The 23,773-nt window shown below is 42.7% G+C and overlaps 1 protein-coding gene and 1 long non-coding RNA gene across 8 annotated transcripts in view, besides 1 other annotated feature; one reads left to right on the forward strand and one right to left on the reverse strand.

The window, feature by feature from the left end:
- The window catches only part of MINAR1 (membrane integral NOTCH2 associated receptor 1), a 60,905-nt gene extending 48,058 nt beyond the window's left edge, over window positions 1-12,847 (forward strand). For all 6 annotated transcript variants that reach the window (XM_017022027.2, XM_011521392.2, NM_015206.3 and 3 more), the window contains exons 3-4: window positions 3,610-3,864; window positions 8,730-12,847. In XM_017022027.2, the coding sequence (XP_016877516.1) occupies window positions 3,610-3,864; window positions 8,730-8,927 (453 nt within the window). In that variant the 3' untranslated portion in view covers window positions 8,928-12,847. The remainder of the gene's footprint in view (window positions 1-3,609; window positions 3,865-8,729) is intronic.
- Window positions 4,374-5,573: an enhancer, noted in NCBI's record as "CDK7 strongly-dependent group 2 enhancer chr15:79756173-79757372 (GRCh37/hg19 assembly coordinates)". NCBI's record gives its function as "activates an origin of replication core promoter dependent on BRD2, BRD4, P300/CBP, MED14 and CDK7 cofactors, with strong dependence on CDK7, by STARR-seq in HCT116 cells {active_cell/tissue: HCT116}" and the evidence as "EXISTENCE:reporter gene assay evidence [ECO:0000049][PMID:35650434]".
- On the reverse strand, window positions 4,381-15,726 carry LOC105370918 (uncharacterized). Of its 2 annotated transcripts, XR_007064728.1 has the most exons (5): window positions 15,617-15,703; window positions 14,936-15,056; window positions 7,506-7,600; window positions 5,308-5,481; window positions 4,381-4,782 (listed from the first exon to the last, which is right to left on the reverse strand). It is a non-coding gene; the product is annotated as an uncharacterized LOC105370918 (long non-coding RNA). The 2 variants fall into 2 exon arrangements; XR_007064729.1 differs by having other exon boundaries at window positions 5,308-7,600; window positions 14,936-15,053; window positions 15,617-15,726.
- Window positions 15,727-23,773: the final 8,047 nt, after the last annotated feature.

A 23,773-nucleotide genomic window follows, 5' to 3' on the forward strand; every position in this document is an offset into this window, starting at 1 on the left:
ACTGGGTTACAGTGACCCCTTTCTGGCCAAGGTGATGCAACTTCAGTTTGTTGCTTGTCTCCATTCCATGTCCTGCTTCTAAAAGGTCAGTGGACAGAGAAGGCCCTACTCCTGAGGTCTCCAAGGTCTGAGTTGTCAGAGAGTGACAGTGGTGTGGGCTACAGACATTCAAAGCCAGGGAGGAGGCCGAGCTCCTCAAATGGTGCTGAGAAGGAAAAGCTTGTAAAACTGGGTTTTAAGGAAATTTTCAGGGTCCAAAGAGGGGAGGGAGTATTTAAAATCCCCCTGATTTTAAATAAACCTCTAGTGTCTGCTGGTTACTGCTGTGTGCTTCTGGAGCGGCTTACTGCATGTGGTGTTGGAGAGGATCCAGAGTTTGATATATGCTGCCATGCTGGGCACAAGATGCCCAGATCCAGTCCTCCCCTTGGGTTCTATTGTCACTATCTCTTAGCTGCCAGGGTCTGGCCAGGTTTCTGGTGCTTTGGGTTTCAGATATCATTGAACAGTGGCCATTTAGAGAACTCAAATGGTTAGGTGCTTCTGTAGAAATATTAGGTTAAACTGAACCAGCCATGCCTCCCACCTATCAAATGTCAAAGCTTCACAAAGCCAGCAGGAATGAGCAGACACAAGCTTCAGTCAGATCCGCTCGATAGGTCTAACACAAAGTTGCTAACACTGGGGATGCATTCTCTTTATTTTGTCCCCTTCTGCAACCTCATTTCTCCTTCCTGGCTTGTGACTCTCACCACCTTGGGGATGGTGATTCCCATGGTAGTGACCAGACCCGGCCCACCTTTGGAGCTTTGGTTGCATATGTCAAACTGCTGAAGGCCAGTTTCCCCTAAATGTCTTGCCTACATGTCAAAATCTACAGTTCCCAAAGCAGGCTTTTCTGTTCCTTTAAAAACAGTGTTCCCTCTCACTATTTCCATTCTGGGAGGGGTGAGGATGGAGTCAGCATTCTAGCAATCCTCCAAACTGAAGAAGCCCCTCTGGTCCCTCCTCTTGGGCTCACTTTGTCCAGCGTAGCTACCAGACCCTATGGATTTGCCTTCTGTCGTGTCTTTTGCAACTCTGCCTTCTTTTCCATTTACACCTCTACGTTGAGTCAAGGCTCTTTCCCTACCGGGGATCCTTGGGCACATTCTCACCTTCCATCTCATCTCATGGGCCACTGCTGCATTCGCTTTCCTAAAATGCCACTCTCTGTGGTTGCGCAGGGCCCCCTATTCCCCACTCTTCTCTGACTCTCCTTTGCCTCTGCAAAGAGTTGCAAACGTCTTAGCCAGGCCTTCACAACCCTGTGAATGTACCTTTCCTCAACTAGAAGGCTCTGTTATACCTTGACTGGACCCTGCTCTACCTTGATGAGTCTTCCTGTTTTGCCTCAAAATAGCCATGCTCATTCATTTGGTCACCCATTCAGTAAACACTAATTGAGCACCTATGACGGCCAGGCCCTATTTCACTGTCAAACTTTTCTTTATGTGAATCCTCCACCAAGACTCTCTGGTCCACCTCCCCTGTACTGATCTAAGTCCTATGCTCCCGTCAAGGCCCCTTACTTCATAAGTCTCTGTAAGCTTTCCTAGGGCTTATTGCTGGTCTCCAGCCCTTAATCCCGTTTGTTCAGACATAGTGGATGGAAACTTTTATTGAAAATACGTATTATGTATATATATTGACTGCCCAGTGAGAACACAAACTCAGTGATACGAACAGGCATGGGCAGCAATGAAACTTTCCATCTTAGAAGTGAAAACAGTTTCAAATCCTGGCTCTGCCACTTACCAGCTGTCTGACATTGGGTCAGTCTCTTAACCTGAGTTTCCACATCCATACTAGGGATAATAGCTACAACCTCAGAATTTTAATGAGAAGATGAAATGAAGACAATGCATGTTTAGCACTGAGCAGAGTGGTGGACACATAGCCCTTGGTTAATTGCAATTATGCCTGCAGTGGCTACCGTCGTAGTTATTATCACCATCTCCCCTTCCTCCCAGCTTGGTGCAGACTCTGCATGCAATAGGAGCTCTCTGAGTGTTGGGCGGTGGTGATGAGCAAAAACTGGTGAAGTCTCTTAGAAGATACTTGGCTTTGATGAGTTAGAAAATAAGAGGGAACCTCATTTTCTTGTGTGGGTTTATCCTGTGTTCTCTGTGTCAGTGTCAGCAGTCTTGATGGTCTAGAATAGCCAAATGTTATGCTCTATTTGGGTAAGAGCCAATGGGTTGGGTTTGCTGGTAGGTGGAGATGTGTTTCCAGTCCCCATGCAGGTGTAGGACCCACACACTCACACATGTACACACATACACCACGTGTGCTTCCAACCCCTATGCAAGCATCTGATCCACGTACACACATACAAGTGTGCTTCCAGCCCCTATGCAAGCATATGATCCACACACTCACACACACTCCAGGTGTGCTTCCAGCCCCTATGCAAGTGTATAGGTCACACACATACACGTGTGCCCACGTTCTTGCACATCAACTCTCATTGCATCACACCTAAACATTCTCCTTCTCTTCCTTCTGTACACACACTTTGACTCACATTCTTCTTTTTTCCTTTTTCTCTTGCTATTACTGAGATACACAACTTCTTTGCTCTCTGTTCCATACACATGACTTCATATCGCCTCTAACCCTCTGATGAATATTCATGGAGTGTCTTCTACTTGGTGGTATTACGTTGCTGGAGAAGGGGATTAAAAGGTGAACAAAATGATCCCTTGCCTTTAAGGAACTCATAGTTTAGCAGAGGAGCCAGATGGGCAAACAGGCAGTTATAGTTCAAAGGCGCAAATGCTGGCTGAAGGGTCTGAACACAGTTCTAAGAGGTCACATAATGAGCACTAACCCAGTCTTATAACAGGTATACTGAGAGCAGAAACCCTTGGCTTGCATTTCAAGGACTGAGAATATTAATTATTGCCACCTGTTTTAGGCACCTTCCTACCTCCACACTGCTGCCCAGACTTCTTTCTTATCCTGAAGGCCATATCCCCTCTGACCAGGGGCCCATCTGCTGCCTGGGAAAATCACTAGAGGCTCCCAACATGTGCTTTCTGACTCAGCTTCTTCCCTCCAAAGAAGCAGTGTAGCATCAGGGTTTTCAGCGAGTTCCTTGAGGAAAGGACCCGTATCTTTTACTCATCTGTACCCCGTGCAAAATGGTGAAAGAAAGAGGGGGCATTAATATCAGTAGTTAAACAACGACTCTAAAGCCAGATGATCAGGTTTAAATCCTAGCTCCACCCCTTACTAGCTGTGTGCCTCGGGGCAAGTTACTGAGTCTGGGCTCCATTTTCCTACCTGTACAATGGGGATTCACAATGGTAGTGATGGCCTAAAGATTACATTAAATAACCTTTTTCTGGCACAGAAATGTTAGTTTATATTAGTAACATTATGATCATAAGCTTTTCCTAGAGAATTTCCCTCAATATGGTTATGCTTTCATACTTTTGATTTGGCTGGAAGTAACTGCACTTTGCTACCTGAATGTCTACAGGAAAGCTGCTGGCTGCTCAATTGCACTGTGAAATCCAAGGGCAACTGTGCCACTTGTCTGGACTTCTTTGTGCCCCTCTGCAGGCAGACAGGCAGTACGACATTCCCCCACAGCACCGACTGCCCAAGCAGCCCAAAGATGGCTTCCTGGTGGAGCAGGTGTTCAGCCCTCACCCCTACCCTGCCTCCCTCAAGGCCCACATGAAGAGCAACCCCCTGTACACAGACATGCGGCTGACCGAGTTGGCCGAGGTGAAGCGGGGCCAACCTTCTTGGACCATTGAGGAGTATGCACGGAATGCGGGCGACAAGGGCAAGCTGACAGCCCTGGACCTGCAGGTGAGCCTCTCACTGTCCCTGGGTGGGGGAAGCCCAGCTGTGCCCTGGCAAATGCCCTGGAATGGATCACGGACGGCTTAGACCGGCCAGCCCACTTCCACACCCTTCAACTCCCTGGGCCCCCAACATGGAATTCAGAACTTTAATAAATCATAGAGCAGAAGAGACTTTTAACAAGGGGATCGTTGTTTTGCTTATTTGTAAACATTTAGCAGTAGGAATGCTTGATTGATTTATGTATTTTTTATCGGCCATCTGATTTGCTAACAATGCATTTACGACTCTGTACCAAGTGCAGATTCTAATATTTGCTCACAAGACCTGAGCCAAACTGTTTAATGAAATACAAGCTGATTTCTCCTTCCATATGTAGCACGTGGGATAAGCATATTTGTGGGAGCCAAGCTATGGATTATGTTTCCATACGGAGCAGCCCCAGGTAAGAGCCATCCCCGGAAGCTCTGTGAATGCAGTTGTGGCTGGAGGGCATGTTTTTTGTTCACCCACAAGCAGGGCTGGGTTTTGGCCACACTTTTATTTTGGTGGGCAGCTCTGCCTGGTTCCATTCACACTGGGTTGATCTGTGTCTCCAGATCACCACAGGAGCAAAGGAAGCACCCTGTCCCCCTACCTGTGCACTTAGCTTTGTAGGCAGTGAGGCCATAGCACCAGGAGTGCCCGTTCCGTCCAGGCTCTGGAATGACCATGCACTTGAAGCACAGTTGGTGAGAGCTGCCTGTGGAGATCGGGTATGGCAAGGCTTCCCTGAAATGGCCTTGCTCTAAAAGAGGGCTGTGGGAGGTACAGTGTGGTGGAGAGAAGAGACTGCCTTCTGGTAGCACTGGGTTTTCATCCAGGACTCTTTCGCTGTGTGACCTGAAGCATTCACTCCATCTGATTGAGGTTCAGTCCCTCCACCTGTTAAATGGACATAATAATATCAAGCTTGTGAGTCATTGTAAGAATTAATATATTTAAAGTACCTGGCATCAAGTAGGCACTGAAAAAGAAGGCCCTTGGGGGCTGGTCAATGATGCTGAAATCAATCAACTTTGCATGGTGCTTTTTACAGTCTCTCAGTTCCAGGCACAGTGGCCTGTGAGGCCGGAATTGCTATGACCATCTTCAGTTTACAAATGAGGAAATCGAGGCCCCAGGAAGCTCGATAATTTGCCCCAGGTCAGACAAGTCTAAATTCATACTGGACCATCTGGCAATAAGTCTCATGGTCTTTCTCTTCTGCAATTTTCTTGCCATTTCATTTTTCTCTTGTTAAGGGTTTAGTGGAGTTTTATGTTACAAAAGAAAATGATTGCAATGACATTTCTTTATCTTGGGCCTTAAATGACAGCAATTATGGGAAGGGGCAGCTCTGTCCAGACCCTGACAGTGAGGGTTGTGGGGGCATCAGTAGCAACCCTAAGCCCTTCCTCACCCCCTTACCTCATGCATGTTACATTCCCACTTGGACTGCATACCCCTTGATCCTTCAGGTCAATCCCTCTTCTGTCAACTTCCTGCGGGCAAGGAGGCTAGACAGGGATTTGATTCTCCCTCCGGTGGAATATTTCATGATTCTCCCTCCGGTGGAATATTTCATCAGTATCACTGGATGACCTTGAAAGAGTTAGATTAATTAAGTGAGCCATAGGCTGAGAAACATCTTTGCAAAGTTTGCAGGGAGGGAGCTGGAAGATTTACCCCCTACAGATATGTGAGCTTTTACTGCACCAGTGTTTATAAGCATAAAGATAAAATTATAAAAATTAAAAATAGATATTGGGGTTACAGAGCTTTAGGTGACATTACTTAAAAATCCAAAGGAGAGAGTATCCAGTTGCATAAAATATGAGGAAGTAGAGAGTTCAATAGCCGTGTGAGGGTGTTTACAGCAAAAAAGAGCCAACCTTGAGAGCTTGGTGAAGGCAGTAAGCACAACCTTTTTTCTTTTCATCTCTTTGCAGACTCGAGTACAGTCTTAGGGCAGTGTTGGTGTCTGGACAATCTTCCCGGAGTTCCTTTGTGTTGAGATATACATTCACCATCAGTGGTGCCCACTTGAGGGCGTAGGCAAAGGTGCAGACCCCGTTCTTCTTTCCAGTGTTTGCCAGGGCTAATTAATAACTGCATACACTCACCTGTGTCCCTTGAAACCTCAGTATTACCTCTTTTCTACTTGGTGCGATTACAGCTTACAGTTATTGAAAAAACTAATTAAAAATAGTTTATTTCACACACTGAATCCCAGCCCGTAATAGTGTATATAGCTATGAAAGAAAGCCAATTTCCTTCTGTCTGAGCCGGAGGGAATAAAGTACAAAATCTGATGTGTCATTTAGACACTGTTTGGCTTCTGGGCCAGCCCTAGGATGACTGAGAAGAAGAGCAGGTTGTTCTACCCATAGTGTGCTGAGCCTGACTTCCAGGTGCCAGGGTAGGGAGGGCTGCTGGTCTGACCCCCACCAGCACCCAGCCTTTAGGGGTGCCTCAGCCACTTCTGCAGACCAGTCTTCCAGCAAAATATGCCCTTTAGTGCCTATTAAACTGCTGAAGGGTGTTCATGTTTTCATGCCAAGGAGAGCAGACTGGCCCCAAGGGCCTGTGGCAAGCAGAGCTTTGGTGGCTCAAGCAGGAGGAAGAGGCGGTCCAACAGTCAGGGTTCAGCAGCAGTGGAACTGCTCTGGGAAGCTCAGGGAAGAGGCTTCTGGGGCTCTAGCAGAGGATGCAGGAGTTTCTTGCAAAGGCTGAAGGGTTGGACAGAGCACTCTGCACAATAGGGACTTTTCCCCACATTGAGAGTGTCTTGGTTTCTATTTTGGGTGCCCTGAGTGTCCAGGACCACCTCCCACCCTTCCATGTAACTTGAGAAATTAAACAGCAGTCTCTAAACATTATGCCTCGGCGAGGGAAGGGACCAGGAAGATTTTCTGTGATGCCTAGATCCCCTTCTCTTTCCATTGTAGTGTCGCATAGCATGTTCTAGAACGGGGGCTGGCAAACTTTCTCTGTAAAGGACCAGATAGTAAATCCTTTAGGCCTTGTGGGCCTTATAATCTCCCATTGTACAATCTGCCATTGTAGTGTGAAAGCAGCTATAGACAATTTGGAAACAAATAGGAGTGGCTGTGTTCCCATAAATCTTTATTTTTGGACACTGAGATTTGCATTTCATATAATTTTCATATGTCATAAAATATTCTTTTGATTTTTTTTCAACCATTTAAAAATGGAAAAAAATCACTAAAAATCACTCGTAGTTCAAGGGTTGTACAAAGACAGGTGGCAGGTCAGATACGGCCTGCAGGCCATAGTGTGTCTACCCCTGTGCTAGACAACTATGAGCAACAGGTAGATAATAAAGCCTGAGGGGTGCAGGGCCTGCGGGTTGTCAGTGTCCTGGCAGCAGGCAGGTGACATTCTCAAAGGGGTAGCTAAGGAGGGGACTCTTTACAATAGCTGGTGAAGCACCCAGAGACCAGCACCAGTAGGAAGCTGTTGCCACCCTTGGATCTGAAGGGCCAAGGGAAAGGGGCTGTTTCTGAAACCCACTGAGACCCACAGCTCTGAGAGCAGGTGTCCAATAGGAGCTGGGCCACTGCCAAACTACAGCCCAGCCAGGAGGGAGCTGGGGGAATAAATACCTCAATCTCTCTTTCTTCTTGTCTTCATTGGCTGAACCCCCATGGGAGCTTGAGGGCAGGGGAGCCCCCATGACGTGTCCATGTACGTTATATTCCTAGGGGCACAGAGCAAGATGAAAAAAGAGAATGAATCTAGAAGGTCAGGCAGAGAATTACTAGCATGCATTAGAATCATCACTGTTCCATCAATAAATGGTACAACTGAGTTTTTTAAAACTTTGAAAGGTTTGTTTTTTGAGCCTGTGTTTGTATATGTGTATGAATAATTTTTAATGTGCCCATGTTTATGAGCATTAAACAATCTAAGAAAATCTTAAAAATGGATATTTTGTTTGCATTTCAAAGACTTAAATGACCTCACTTCGAATTGCAATGTGCTGTTGCTTTTATGTGACACTCATATTATTAAATGCTTGCCATAAAATGAGAACACTGCCTTTCTTCATGGAAATAGATTATAACTGTCAACGTGGAATAGGATTCACGGAAAATACAAGTTAAATATGGTATTTCTCCTGATGACAGTTGATTAACCTCAGGGAGATCAGCAGACAAATGTCAGTGGGGGCTCTCTCTTTGGGGAAGCTGCACCGAGTCTGAAACTATTGCCAAGGCAGGTCTAGGGTGGGAACAGTCTGCCATGGGGTTGGTAGACCTTGACTTTGAGCAGTGGCATGACCTGCTCAGATAAATGGCTGAATTTGAAATAGTCTATGTTTTGTTTAAACTGCTCATCTTGGAGGTTCCTTTGATTTTTCAGTAGAAGCTTTTCTGAGAAAGAAGAACTGACTCAGAGTGCTATGATGGTCTTGTTTCAAGCAGATCTGTTCTTAGAGCCTGTTGGAAGAAAGCATTTTTCAGTGACTTTCCTTGTTTCCTTTGCAGTGAGGCCAGCCCCTCCTTGGTTGCATGCCCTTGAAGTTTGGAGTCTTGCTCGTCTCAGCCCCATTTTGCTTGCTTACAGATAAAAGACCCTTGGGTTTCTCTGTGTCAAAACCAACATGATATTTTTAGTGAGGGAGGGGCCTATGCAATCTGTGATATGTGGGATGAGCCTGTAGTAGCCTGCCTCAGGCATGGGGCTGGTGGGGCAGTGTTATGCAATACAGTCTCTAACTCCCAGCTGCAGACAACTTAAGTGCTTCAGGAGTGATGACTGTCGGGACGTCTTTGACCTGATTTCAAGTATTCACTGTATTTCTAACATCTTCTCTTCGCTTTTAGACGCAAGAATCTTTAAACCCAAATAATTTAGAGTACTGGATGGAAGACATTTATACTCCAGGATACGATTCATTACTAAAACGTAAAGAAGCCGAATTCAGACGAGCCAAGGTCTGCAAGATAGCTGCTCTGATCGCTGCTGCGGCATGCACCGTCATCCTCGTTATTGTCGTGCCCATCTGCACAATGAAATCATGAGCTAAGAATGCAACCTTACGTACAGCTTATGACTACCAATGTCGTCGTCTGTATCTTAGAATCTTGCAGCAGTGAGGCAACAATTTGTTGAAATGGAGATGAAATCATGGAGGCATTTCTACAAATGTTGAATGAAGGTGGTTTTCAGAAAGTATACATTCTAGTGAGAAATCTACCTACCTATTAGCTTTGACTCAATTACACTCTGACGCATTTTTAGAAGTGCAATATCTTTTCCTACCAAAAGAACATCATGGACTATCAATAAATACAAATTGAATATTCCAAGCCAAAAAAGGAAGATTAATTGGGTTCTTTCCATTTTGATGATGTTTCATGGTGGGGAATAAGTTATACAGAAGATATTTAATACACGCCTCTTTAGAAGAAACTAAGGGAAATAGCAACATAAGAAGAAAAGAGGTGGCTTCTCTTTTCCATAATGTTCTTAGACCATTGCTGGTGAAGTAACAGGGTGTGTGTCCCTAAAGGGTATTACTTCTCTGTCGACTTTTATCAAGGGCTACTGACGTTTCATTCTTGCCCTTTTGTCATCAACACGACAGAGTGTCTGCATCACTGCAGATCTTCATGGAAACATTCTGGACCTTCTTCCTTGCACTTGGAGTGAGAAGGAGCTGGACTACCAAGTCAGGCGTGGAATGAAGTATGCTCAGACTGCATGATGGGCCAAGGTATTCAGGCCAGGAGACCTCGTCCTCAATCCAAAGTGTAGGGGAGCTGCCTGCTAACGATGTAAGGTCAGTATTTGAAAATCATGGCCACTCCAAAGGATCTCCTGTTCTTGCTTTGGTGTGTGGCTCCATTCCTTGATTTTCTATCTCCTGGTGGTACCAGATGCTCTGCCTCTCATACATGAGTTGAAGAGTTTGGAACTTGTCCTTGTGCCTTGAAGAGTAGAGACAATGGCTAAACGTTGACATTCTATCTGTAAACCATGGTTTTCACGCACCACTAATATCTGCCATTTTCAATGGCTTTAAAAAGATTTTGAAAGCTTGCTCAATAATGTTCAATAATATAATAATAATAAAGGCACTGAGGTCTTCTCAGTTACCCCAACACCTACTCCAGAGTTTTGAATACTTGTCAGCAGTGCAAAAAATATTATCTGTTTAACCACTTATCTATATGTCTATCTATCTATCTATATGTCTATCTATCTATCTAAATACTTGATTTTTATTTATTGTCTTCTCTGTTAAATAACTTGAGAGCAAGGTTTCTTTCGTGTAAAAGAAGCTGTTGTAATTTCATCCAAATTTGATCTGTTTCCACCTGCTGAATGGTGCTCTGACAATAATGGAACAGAAAGAATCCTTATCAGCATCTGATTCCAATGTCTTGTTACAGGTCAAAGAAAAAAGGATTGACAGAAACTAGCTACCTTATATATATTTTTTGATAATAAGGTGGGATATAAATAGATTTTGGTAGCAAGTGTAATCACTCCGTATGATATAATAAATTTCTAAAAGATTTGAGAGCATCTCAATTTTTAAAGCAATAGGAGTCTAGCATCCATTCTGAAAAATCGCAAATAATGCTTAGCTTGCTGTGTCTGATTCTGTTGTTCACCATTAAGGGGTAGACAGTTAATTTTATTATGTTAACAAGTGAGGGATGAATGTTTTCATCTGTGGTGAACCTTTATTTTTAGAAGTCTTCATGTTATCTATTTGTATTATCATGTTTATGTATGGATTTTCAATTTCAGTAACCGAAAACTTAAGCCTTAGTATGAAAAACTGAGGATTTATAATTGAAAATGAAAAAAATATGTTACTCTCTATCATCAGAATTATAGTCTTTGGTGCTCTGTTTTCAATGGGGCATATTACATAAGGTTGTTTCTTTCACCCCAAAGAGACTACTAGGTTACCACTCTGGGCATTGCCTTTCCACCTAACCCCTCAACCAGTAAGACTCTACACCATATTGTAGCCCCACTATTCTCCTCTTTATCACAGATGAAGTGCCAGAGCATCAGAGATAGGTAGCTCCCAACCTCTTGCTCTGGATTTGCAGAAGAGGGGGAGATGTACTTACCCAGGATAAGAAAAATCTAGTCAAATCCACCCCAAATCTTCCATTTAACAGGTAGGACCATCGAGGCTGGACCAAACCACTTTTTCCACTGCCCTTGGTGAATCTATTCCTAGTGGACCCCATTTGGGCATGTGCCTAGCTACCTTGGGAAGGCATGACTATAAGTCACACCTCAGGCTTGGAAATGAAAGGATTCTATAGAATATTCTATACTTTCCATAGCTGGAGAGGTAGTCAGAAATTCAGTCTTGCTCTGAGTCCACAGTAGCTTTAAAATTCAACTCAACATTGTTGTCACGTAACGGAAACATCTAGACCTGGTAATAATCCAGGAAATTGCAAAATGGAGGCCAAAAGTAAGGTGGGTTTCTCTGGAAAGGGGTCATCCTCAGTCTGATAATACCAAGTCTGACGCTGAGGTTATGAATCATTACCATGGCTTGGAGCTATTGGATGCTTGGGGTCTTGGGATAGATAGAAGGTGAGGTTCACAGTTGGAGCTTTTCTTGCCATTGACCCCAAGCTCACCCCAGCCTTCCTTCCCTGACCCTGAGACTCACCCTATCTATCTCCCCTATTCCCTCAGTTTGCAGAATGAGCAAGATAGAGTCTGGCTAGGAGGGAAACATCTATCCATCTCTCTAATCTTTGCCCATCACCTCCTGTTGCAATGAGTTCCCGCAGGTGACATACGGACTGGCCTCTCTACTGTACTGGGTGCCATCTCCCACCATACTCTGGCATTTTTATGTAAAGGATAATTTCTTGTACCTGAGTCTAAAATTACAACGTTATCAAAATTCACTTCGTTTTTCCTGCATTTTAAAAGTAATAAAATATTATTTGAGATTATTTTGAAATTAAATATCCTTAACCAATGATTAAATTCATAATCATTTCATCTTCTTTCATAATCATTTCATCTTCTAATCTGAATTTGTTTTGAACACAGCCTTGCAGAAAAGCAAAAAATATTTCCCCGCTCAAATTTTGCCGACATTTTATACCAGTATCCCCTTCATTACAGTAAACTAAATCATAACTTACATCATCCATTACTAGCTGATCATAAATTGTTAGTATTTTAAGGTATGCAACTATGTGATTGACATCTGTAAGGCTAGTTTAATAGACGTGCTAAATATCACTGTTCTGAATATCTGTGCCATAGTTCTGATACCCTTATTGGAATCAAGGCAGTGCTGTTTCTGTTTACAAGTTATCAAGATAAGAGCAGTGGCATCACATTTGTTGTTGTTGTTTTTTTTTTTGAAATAGAAAAAAACAGAAGAAGCTCTGCCAACAATAAAAGATTTTGTTAAGTGGTATAAAAATTTGTGAATGTTGAAATTCAACATGCTTCATATTATAACCAACCTGCAAGAATATTGTGGTCAATTGTGTGAATACCAAATCAGTATATACTGTATACTGTACTATGAAAATTTGTATTTAAAGGCAAAGATACAAGTAATTGTTGGTATAATTGGGGAAAAGGGTATTCAATATTTATTAAGTAACAATGAGAAATGCAACAAACTTCCTTATTTATGCCTTATGAATAAAAGAGTGTGGAATGTAAGGTGAAATTTTATGTGCAAGATCCTGAAGGAATGGGTATTCTTGAAGGCAGGGACTGTCTTTTCTATGTTTGTTCTGTACAGCTCTCAGCACACTCTTGGTGCTTGATAAATGTTATGTTATATAATACCAATAACTAAGCACATTTTTAGATCTTTTTTCAAATGGCTTGTGTAAAATTTGGTTAATGTACAATGGTTGGTTTGAAGCTATCATGTAAAATTGGCCTCTCCAAATATAATCAGAAATAAACCGAAAAAAATATAAAATGTCTTGCAGTGAGAGTTGATTTTATGCATAAATTATAAGTGTTCAGTTTTATGCAAGGATCATGTGTCCAGCTTGATGACTTCTCACAAATTGAACAATTTCACAAATTGAACATGTAATCAGCACTTAGAGCAAAAATGTCTCAGAACATTTAAACATCCCAGAAGCCTCCCTCGTGCCCCTTCCAGTTAAAACGCTGAAAAGACAAACCACCATCCTGACTTCTGAGGCCCCAGATTAGTTGTGCCTGTTTTTGAGCTTTATGTAAGAGTAATTGTGCAGTATCTACTCTTTTGTGTCTGTCTGCACTCTTTCAGCAGGATGTTTGTGAGAGATGTTCATGTTATGTGTGGTTGCAGTTTTCTCATTCTTATTTCACTAACTCATTGTGAATGTACCACAGTTTATTTTTCCATTCTACCATTGAATGGACAGGTAGCTTCCACTTTGGGCTATGAATATTCTTGTATATATCTATCTTTTTTTTTTGTTTGAGACAGAGTCTCGCTCTGTCCCCTGGCTGGAGTGCAGTGGTGTGATCTTGGCTCACTGCAACCCCCACCTCCCGGGTTCAAGTGATTCTCCTGCCTCAGCCTCCCGAGCAGCTGGGACTACAAGTGCGTGCCACCATGCCCAGCTAATTTTTGTATTTTTAGTAGAGACAGGGTTTCACCATGTTGGCCAAGATGGTCTCGATCTCTTGACCTCGTGATCCGCCTGCCTCGGCCTCCCAAAGTGCTGGGATTACAGGCATGAGCCACCATACCCAGCCTCTTGTATATGTCTTTTAGGGAACATATGCATGCATTTCTGTAATGTGTATCCCTAGGAGTAAAACTGCTGGGTCATGAGATATGCCTACACACTGCTTTAGTAGATACTGCCAGCAACTTTTTAAATATGGTGCTACCAATATACACGCTCAACAGAAGCATTTATGGGGGTTCCAGCTTCTTTACATCCTACTCAATAATTGGCATCATCTGTCTTTCATTTTAGCCATTCCACTCACTGTGTGTATGGTATTATCTCATTGTGTTTTTGATTTGTATTTCCCTGATGACTAGTGAGATTTGCTGTCTTTTAGTATGTTTATTGGCCATTTGGATATTCTATTTTGTGAAGTACTTGTTTATGTTTTTGCGCAGTTTCCTATTGGATTTGTGTCTTTTTCTTACTGATTTGTGGACATTCTTTATTTATTATGGAAATGTGTTCTCTGTTAGATAAACATTGGAAATACTACTTTCCATTCTGTGAGCTGTAGTTTTTGCTTTCTTGATGTTGGTGTCTTTTTGATGAATGAAAGTTATTTATTTAGTTAGTTAGTTTAGTTTGTTTTTTGAGACAGGGTCTCACTTGGTCACTCAGGCTGGAGTGCAGTGGTGTGATCTTGGCCCACTGCAACTTCTGCCTCCCAGGCTCAAGCCATACTCCCGCCTCAGCCTCCTAAGTAGCTGGGAGTACAAGTGTGGGCTACCATGTGCGCCTAATTTTGTTTGTTTGTTTTGTATTTTTTGTAGAGACAAGGTCTCACTATGTTGCCCAGGCTGGTCTTGAATTCCTGAGTTCAAGGGATCCACCCACCTTGGCCTCTCAACGTGCTGGGATTACAGCACGTTGAGAGGCTACTGTGAGCCACTGCATCTGGCTAATGAATGGAAGTTCTTAATTTAATATAGAAATTTATTATTTTTCCCAATATGATTGGGAATTTGGGATCTATTTAAGAAATCTTTACATACTACAACGTCATGAAGATGCTCTACGTTTCTTCTAGAAACTTTATTATTTTTCATAGTTAAACCTGTACTTCTAGAATTGATAGTTGTAGCTTATGTGAAGTAGGGGGTGAAGGCATGTTTATTTTCCTGTTTGGATATCCACTGATCAGCACCATTCATTACAAAGATCATTTTTTCCCCTTTGGCATAAAGCTGCTTAAAGTCTTTGTGGTTTCCTGGGCTTTTTATTCTCCTCCTTTGGTCTGTTCATTTTTTTTCTTGTATAAGCACATCAACATAATTTTTCTATCCTAGTCATATTAAGGCATTCCTCAACAATGAAATAAATGAATAATAGCTTACTTGGGTAGAAGCCTTGGCACATTTCTTGCTTGTGAAATCATATCATGGCAGATGTTGAAGAAAGAGTGTGTCCAGCTCCTTTTATCCCGTCTACTATTCACAAATGTCACTGGTTTCCCTGCTTGAGTCATTAAAGAAAAGTGATTACTTTAAGCATGAGTCACAGCACATTGTAAAAAGCAATTAATAAATATCTTGACACCTAAAAACAGCAAGAAGTCTCTGATAAAATTTTGAAGAATGTTAGAGTAACTCTACAATGGTGGATATAAGAATGCTTTTAAGTTTTACAATAAAAAAATTTAGACCCACAAATCCAAAGTTTGCATTTAGCTGGACTAGGCCTAGATTGCATTTTGCCTGAAATTCAATTGAAAGTGCTCTGAAAAAGTGAATTAAGAAAATAATGTATAAGTAATCTTATAGGAAAAATTGTTTATCTTCCTTATGAGGACAAATCAATATGCAATATGCGACTGTAAGGCATTTTAATATATCATTAATTTAGCTTCCTCCCCACCAACTATGAGCAAAAGTCAATACTTGGTTGACTTACTTTATATTATTGAATGTACTTTTTTAAAAAACACATACACCATACCCTAGTGCTCTAGAATTCAGGCTTCGCAATGGCTCCCACTGGCTTTCTCCAAAGCCTGAATTATTGAGACTTTTCTGTACCTGGATTTGGTTTACATCTTCAGTAGTTCTCATGATGGAAAGGAGGGGGACAAGTTACACGTGGCTTCATACAGAAGTGATACTGCATTACATGAAGAATATTCCAATATCTGAAAAGAAGAAGAGAACTTCAGAGTTTCTGGCCAGAACCAGGTATAGCATTTAAACCTTTGAAACACTGCTTCTTGCAAACACTGTCTCTTGACTTTGACTTGTAGCAGTTTATAAAAATTCCTGAAAGATTCATTAAATCCTGGACACAAAATTATTCATAGAAATTGGCAGCACAAGTTTGAAAATGAAACCGTATTTGCAGTTTCCTTCGCAAATACGGTTTCCTTTCATTTGTCAAGGAAAGCCCTCAATAAATTATACCACATAAGTTACTGGGTAGTCATTCTGTGAATAGAAGAAATGCACTTGGTATTTTCATGCTGGTTACTCATAGTCATGTTCTACATTTTAATGATTCTTGCATAATTTCAGAAATCCCAATGAGGCAGCCTTTCCTAGCTCATTTTCTCTGGACCAATGTTGTTTGATCTGGATGTCCCAGCCAGTCTAATTTAGCAGTTTTGTTGCTTTGTTATTAAAGTTTAGTTTTACTGTTAGCAATGTACTTGTGATCAATATCCTTTCTGATTCAACCTTTTTCCTACCTTTTGGTTTACTCATTTATTTATTTAGTCAACTAATATTTATTGAGCAACTGTAATGTGTAAGGCAGTGGTTTATTGCTGAAGTAGTATTGCCTGCTGTGTCCCCAGAACAACTGACAATGTCTTGTACATACTAGATGCTTAATAAATATTTGTTGAATGAAGGAGTGAATGCATGAATGAATGAAAATCTTTGATCTTCTATCTGTCTTGGAACGTCCATTCTAATGAGTGTGCAGATAACAATCAAATAGGCAAATAAATAACTGTAATCAGCAATGAGGGCAATGACGGAAAGGAAAGGAAACATTGGGAGAGATCAACTTGGAGAGCAACAGAGGAACTTCTTGAGTTAGGGTAGCCAAGGCAGGCTTTCAGGAGGAGGTGGCATGTGAGCAACTGAGGAAGAGGCAACTTGCAGTGAAAAGGTCCTGAGGTGGGAATGAAGATTAGAAAGAAGCCCAATGTGTCTTGAACTTACTGAAGTGGACTAGGGAACATGGTGTGAGGAGAGATTAGTGAAGTAGACAGGGACTAGATTATGTAGGGCTTTGCAGGCCACAATAAGGAGGTGAGGTTTTATTTTAAATATAATTGGAAGCCTTTGGAGACTGCAAGGACTGAAATGAGCTAATCTGTACTCTGATTTATATTTTTATCACATTGCTCTGGCTACAGTGTGGAGAATGGAGTAAAGAGAAGCAAGGGTGGAAACAGGCAGACCAGCAAGTGGGTAATTGCAAACAACACAGGGGAGAGATGGTGGCGGCTTAAACTAGGATGAGACCCTGGAGTTGACCTTGTATCTGTAGGTGCAGCCAGCTGGACTTGCTGATGAGGGCAGTGGGGGAATTAGACAAGTTGATTAAGGAGGGCTTCCTGATTTTTTGCCTTTAGAAACAGGGTAGGTGATGGTGCTATTTAATGTCTTGGAGAAGACTTTGGAAGGAACAATTTGGGGATGGGAAATGGCATCTAAGCCTTTGTTTTAGACATGTCACATTTGAGGTTTATCAGGTCCCTACAGGATGAAGTTTGACATAGCCTTGCCTCTTCTTCTCTGTCTAGATAATTCACCTTTAAGACTCTGTTCGGCATCATTTTCTCTAGGAAGTCTTCTATATCAGTCACTTTAAGCCATGGTATGCTTCCCTAACAAGCAGTTCCCCAAATCTCAGTTACTTATGACAACGGTTTGCTTATTTCCCATGTCACATGTTCATCATGGGTCAGGTGCAGCTGGATTTCATGTCTTCTTAATTATAAGACCCAGGCTGAATGAGCAGCCCTACATCTGGGACATGCGGGTCTCCTGACAGAGACGAAAAGAGACACGGCAAAAGTCCACAATAGTTCTTGGCACACAATCCCTGCATTCACATTTCATTGCCAAGCCATGTCATAAAACCAAGCCCGATGTCTTCAGGTACGAAAATAGACTCCTTGCTCAAGGAAGGTCCTAAGAACATGGTGCCTGGTATGGAAGGGAAGCAGTTATTTTTGAAAAATATTAACTAGCATAGTGCTGGCTAGTGTAGGAGCATGTTAGGTATGCAAATTCTCAGGCCCCACCCTAGACCTGAATCAGAAACTTGCAGGAGATTGGGGCTGGAGGCCCAGTACTTTGTGATTTATACAGCCCTGTAGGTGATTCTAAGTCATGCTCAAATTTGAGAATCACTGATCTCACATACCTGCTGTGACCCTCTTCCTCCACCAACTAGGTCAACAGCATTTCCCTAACATTCACATCCTATCACCGTTGTTACTACATTATGCTATAGTTTGATGCACCGGAACAATTATGCAGAGCCTTGCAGGTTACATTTGCCAACCTAGCTCAGCTCTAGGGGTGCAGTCCATATGCGCTTGGGACCTCTCTTTTGGGGAGGATCAAGTGGTATCTGGGTTCCTAGAAGTCACTATCCTCTGTCTATATATCCTCACCCCAGCCATTGCTCCACCTGCTAGACCGGTCCAGTTGCCGCAGCACACCCAGGTAAAGAATGGTCCTGTGAAACCCCATCTCTACTAAAAATACAAAAACAAAAAAACTTAGCCAGGCTTGGTGGCAGGTGCCTGTAGTCCCAGTTACTCAGGAGGCTGAGGCGGGAGAATGGCATGAACCTGGGAGGCAGAGCTTGCAGTGAGCTGAGATCATGCCACTGCATTCCAGCCTGGGCGACAGAGCGAGACTCCGTCTCAAAAACAAAAAAACAAAAACAAAAAAAAAGAATGGTCCTGGTAACACGGTCTCTGCATACAGGTTGATGCTCCTATAATTTAGCTTTGACCAATCACCTTCTCCTGACTCCTAGCCATCAACCTGGCTCACCGTGTTCTCACTTGACCTCTACTCTGACACCAAGTTAGCAGTGCCATCCGCTTGTCCATCCAGCCTCCTGCCATCCACGTGGCAAGCAACGCTCTGTGGCCAATGCAGGTCTGCTGCTCACCAGTCAGAATAACTGTTCCTTCAGGTCCTAAGACTGGCCAGGTTCCACTCCCGGCCTCTCCTGAACAGATGTATAATTCTTCAGAATACTAGGGGCCCCAATTTGTATTTGGATGGTCAGGAAATACACAGAGAAGGGGTCTTAACTGCTCGTCCTCGTCCAAATCAGGGCTGCACTGTGTCCACCCCAGACTGTGCATTGCACCATGGTGGGTGTTTGGTGAGTACAGAATGCACAGCAGTGATCATCACACTAACGGCATTAACCCTGGTTGAGCACTTAGCATGTGTCAGGTGATCCATTAGTTAATCCTCATAACCATCTTAAGAAATAGAAATGGTGGGCCAGGCGTGGTGGCTCACGCCTGTAATCCCAGCACTTTGGAAGGCCAAGGTGGGCAGGTCACCTGAGGTCAGGAGTTTGAGACCAGCCTGGCCAACATGGTGAAACCTTGTCTCTACTGAAAACAAAATTACCAAAATTGGCCGGGCATGGTGGTGCATGCCTGTATCCCAGCTACTTGAGAGGCTGAGGCAGGAGAATCACTTGAACCTGGGAAGCGGAGGTTACAGTGAGCTGAGATCGCGCCACTGCACTCCAGCATGGGCGACGGAGCGAGACTCTGTTTCAAAAAAAAGAAGAAAGAAAAAAAAGGAGGAGGAGGAGGAGAAACAGTGACTGCCCCTATTTTATAGTTGAGAAAATGGAGGCTCAGAGAGGAATGCCTGAGATTACACAGCTGGTGTCTTGAATCTTGGATTCAAAGCCTGTTTTAAAGTATAGTATATTAATAGAAAATGTAAGATATAAGGCCAATAGCTAGGAAGGTGATTGCCATTAAAAATATAGTTTCCAAGAGAAGGGGGCAGACCATGCCACGAGGTCCACATAGGAAGTACTGGAGTGGGTCAGGAGGCAGAGAGAGAGAGGGAGTTGTGGGTAGGAGCCTTTGTTGTGGTTTTTGAGGGTGGAAGGGGCAAGGTAGTGTAAGCAGACTTAAGACTGACCAGTTCAAACAATTTCATATGGGCTGTCGCTAGTTGTGGCCAAGCCAACAGTGGCCCAGAGTGTAAGAGCCTGATACAAAGGGTGACTGGAGTGTGGCCTCTGGATTGGTTGGTTTGCATTTAAAAAGTGCAGTCACAGGTGAGTTGTTCACTATCACTAAGAACTAGCTAACTCTGGAAGAGGCAGTCCATCCAGGGTCAGAAGGCCCCAGATATCAAAGCATCAGAACACAGAAAATAAAAGACATGGTTAATACAAAGCCAGGCAATCGATTCCAGAGTTGATCCTGCCCTTTGCAACCATTTTTGCCCTGGGGGTGGGTATGCCGGTGTCTGGGAGGGGGTGCGATGCGTGGACCACATTCATCTGTGCTTGTTTCTGTTAGACATTTCCCTGTGGGTTATTCATTAGCTCCCCACTTTAGCCTGGTAAGTGGGGATTATTATTTCAGGCCAAAGAAACCAAAGACATGAGTCTTGCACCAGATCTTCTAACCTGTAAGCAACACAGCTGGGACTTGGACTCAGATTTGAGTGAGGCCAGGTGCTGTACCTCAAAATCCCAAGTGGTGTTTGGCTTGGAGTTTGCACTGGAGGAGGACCTACTGCTCCATGAGCCTAGACAGAACCACTCCCATGGGTTTACACCAGAAGTCTAAATAAATTGGCCCAAACCAGCACATCCCAGCTCAGAGATGACCATGTGACAACGAATACCCAGGAAACTGAAATCAGACAGTTCACAAGAAGATGTGGAAGGGACACAGTCTTTAGAATCAGACAGACACGGGCTTGATTACTGAATCAGCCACTTTCTAAGCTTGAGCAAGCTTCAGCCTCTCTGGGTTTCTGTAAATGGAAACAATAACCTTAAGCTCACAAGTTTTCGAGAGGATTAAATGTAAATCCATATACAAAGCACCCAGCTCATGATAATCACTCAGTAAATGTTAGTTGCCTTCCTCTAATTCAAGGGGCTGTGCCAGGCAGTTGGTCAGCCCAGGAGGACAGACAGGTGGGAAGTAAGGGCCAGGTTGGAAGCCAGTGGTCACAACCACCAGGTAGCCACAGTTCCAAAGGCTGGCAGGCCAGTTGGGACTGCTCAGTGGCTCACCTGAGGGTTTAATGTGAATGTCCTGAGGTTACAAAAACCCTGAATTAGGAGCCCAGAGCCCACAGAGAAAACAGGGAGCAAAGGGACTGCTGGGAAAGAGGTGAACATTGGCTGGAGGAACTCTACATAGGCTTCCAGGGATTTGGCACAAGGGTTCAGGAGTCCCACAAGAGGGAGAAGAGCTCTGACATCATGTTCTGTCATCTGGAAGCAGAAAAGACTGTAGAGAACTGCGCCACAAAGGCAAACACCTTGTCCGGAGTGTGCTTACCAAGGGCAGAATGGAACAGCCAATCTGATGAGCCACTCACTCAGCCCTGCAGCTGTGTATCCATTCATTCACCAGTTCATTCAGCCATTGCCCACTGAGCACCTCTTGTTAATTCTGATGATCAGAGAATGTTAAGAAAAATACAACTTCTATTGCCAGGGAGTTTGAAGTCAGCCACAAGAGACAGATGTGTAAATAAATAATTATAGCACAATGAGATGTGGGTGCAGGCTGTTGGGAGTAAGAGGGTTAAGTAGCTGGAGAATCTAGCACCAGAGACGAGATGGCATATCTATTTATTGCAAGGTGAATAAGAGTTCACCACCAAAAAAAGAAAATAAGAAAGCTGTTTCAAATAGAGATAACAATGTGGGCCAGGACATGGAGACGTATAAAAGGAAGGTATCTTAGGAATACGGAGAAGTTCTGTCCTGCTGGAATACAGAGCTTTTAAGTGAAGTGGAAATAATGGAATGTCAATTTTCCCATCTTACTACTGAAGAAACTGATGCTCGTGGGTTGAGCGTTACACAGAGAATATGTAGTAGAACAGAGAGTCGAGTCAATATTCTTTGCCTCTACATCCCATATTATTTGCATTTCAGCACATTTTCTTTCTGTGGAGTGTGCTTTAACAATTAGTTTGTAAGTCAGTATTTCGGAACTCAGAGTAATTTTCCTATACTACTTCAGCAATGGAAAATTTATCTGAAAAAAAAAGAGTCAAGATATAGATGCAATTACATGTAAATTCAGTATATAAAGGAGGCATTTTATACCTCTAAGGAAAGGATAGATTATTTAGAAAATTGGGTTAGCACAATTGGCTAACCATTTGTGAAAAGCTAGACTAATGCCTTACATCTCTCACCAAAATAAATTCTACATGGCCTAAAGAATTTAATATTAATAAATATAAAGCCATTAAGGTACTGGCAGAAAATATAAGTTAATATAAAGACTTTTTCTATGCATGACACCAAGGAAATTGTACAGAAAGCTTTGATAAATACACCCGCATACGTAAATGAGTCAACTTCTGCTTCTGGCCGTGACAGAGAAACTGACACTGGACTTGTTCTCCCACAGTAAAAATTTAGAAAACTGAATATATAAAATGAATGAAATAATTGTCTTCACGCATGATACAATAGGCAGCACAGGACTGTGATATCTGAATAACAAACAAGGCCATCACTCAGGTCCCCTGGCTATCTGTCTAGGGCACTTTCTGGACCATGATGCGGGGAGACCAGCAGAGCACAGTGATCTTGCTGAGTTGAGAAACAGAGATCGTAGTTTGTGGAGACCTATACAGCTGGACATCAGACCCAGGTACTGGAGGGGAGGGAGCTATTCAATAAGAGAAGCTCCATAAATCTGCATATGCACCCTCTTGAGTCTTCAGTCGAATACTAAATAGCGCATGCTTCAGTGATACTCCACGAGGCTGGACAAAGAACTACTACTGGGTAACTGTAAACTGCACAATTCTCAGAGCTCACAGAGACACGGGAAACATTTGAATTCTGACCAGCCATAATGGGATGAAATAACCGAACTCCCAGTACATTCAGAAGAGACAATGTCAAGGTCATGCTTTAGCAATAGGGCTAAGGTAAACCTAGAGAAAGACTGCTCTAGAATTGTCCTGAACAAGTCTCCAGAAAGCCACGCTGCTCCACAGTACCTTAGCTACCTGACAAGGCACACTTCAGCACATTTTTTTTTTTTTTGAGATGGAGTCTTGCTCTGTTGCCCAGGTTGGAGTGCAGTGGCGTGATCTCAGCTCACTGCAACCTCCACCTGCGTTCAAGCGATTCTCCTGTCTCAGCCTCCCCAGTACCTGGGATTACAGGTGCCTGCCATCATGCCCAGCTAATTTTTTGTATTTTTAGTAAAGATGAGGTTTCACCACTTTGGCCAGGTTGGTCTCGAACTCCTGACCTCAGGTGATCCACCTGCCCCAGCCTTCCAACATGCTGGGATTACAGTCGTGAGCCACCGGGGCGCCCAGCCAGCACTCTTTAAAGTACATCAACACAGTCTAGATACTGAATAATGTAACATTTACAATGTCAAACACACAAAAACTTGATAGATGTGTAAAGAAGCAGGAAAATGTGAGCAAGAAAATTAAACCCATAATTTAAAAAATCCAATATATATAAACCTGAAATGACTGAGATTATGGAAACAGCAGGCACAAATACTTTTAATCAGGTATTATAAATATGCTCAATGATTTAAAGAGGATTTAAAGTTGTTCATTATATTTTTTCATTATGCTTCTAATATCTATATTCTGTAGTGGCATTGCCACTCTCATTGCTAATATTAGTAATGTGTTCTCTCTTTTTCCTGATCAGTCTGGCTAGAGATTTTCCTATTTTATTTATCTTCTTTACAAACCAGCTTTCTGTTTTTGTTTTTTTTAATTTTCTCTATTGTTTCTCAGCTTTTTATTTTTTTTCCATTCTGATTTTCATTGTTTTCTTTCTTCTACTTACTTTAAGTTTATTTACTCTTCATTTTGCTTGCTTCTTAAGGTGGAAGCTAAGGTCATTTATTTGAGATTTGTCTTCTTTTCTAAGATAGGTGTCTAGTGCTATGAATTTCCCTCTAAGTACTGCTTTCATAGCACCCTGCA

This window comes from Homo sapiens, chromosome 15 (assembly GCF_000001405.40).
Source record: "Homo sapiens chromosome 15, GRCh38.p14 Primary Assembly".
NCBI classification, from domain to species: Eukaryota; Metazoa; Chordata; class Mammalia; order Primates; family Hominidae; genus Homo; species Homo sapiens.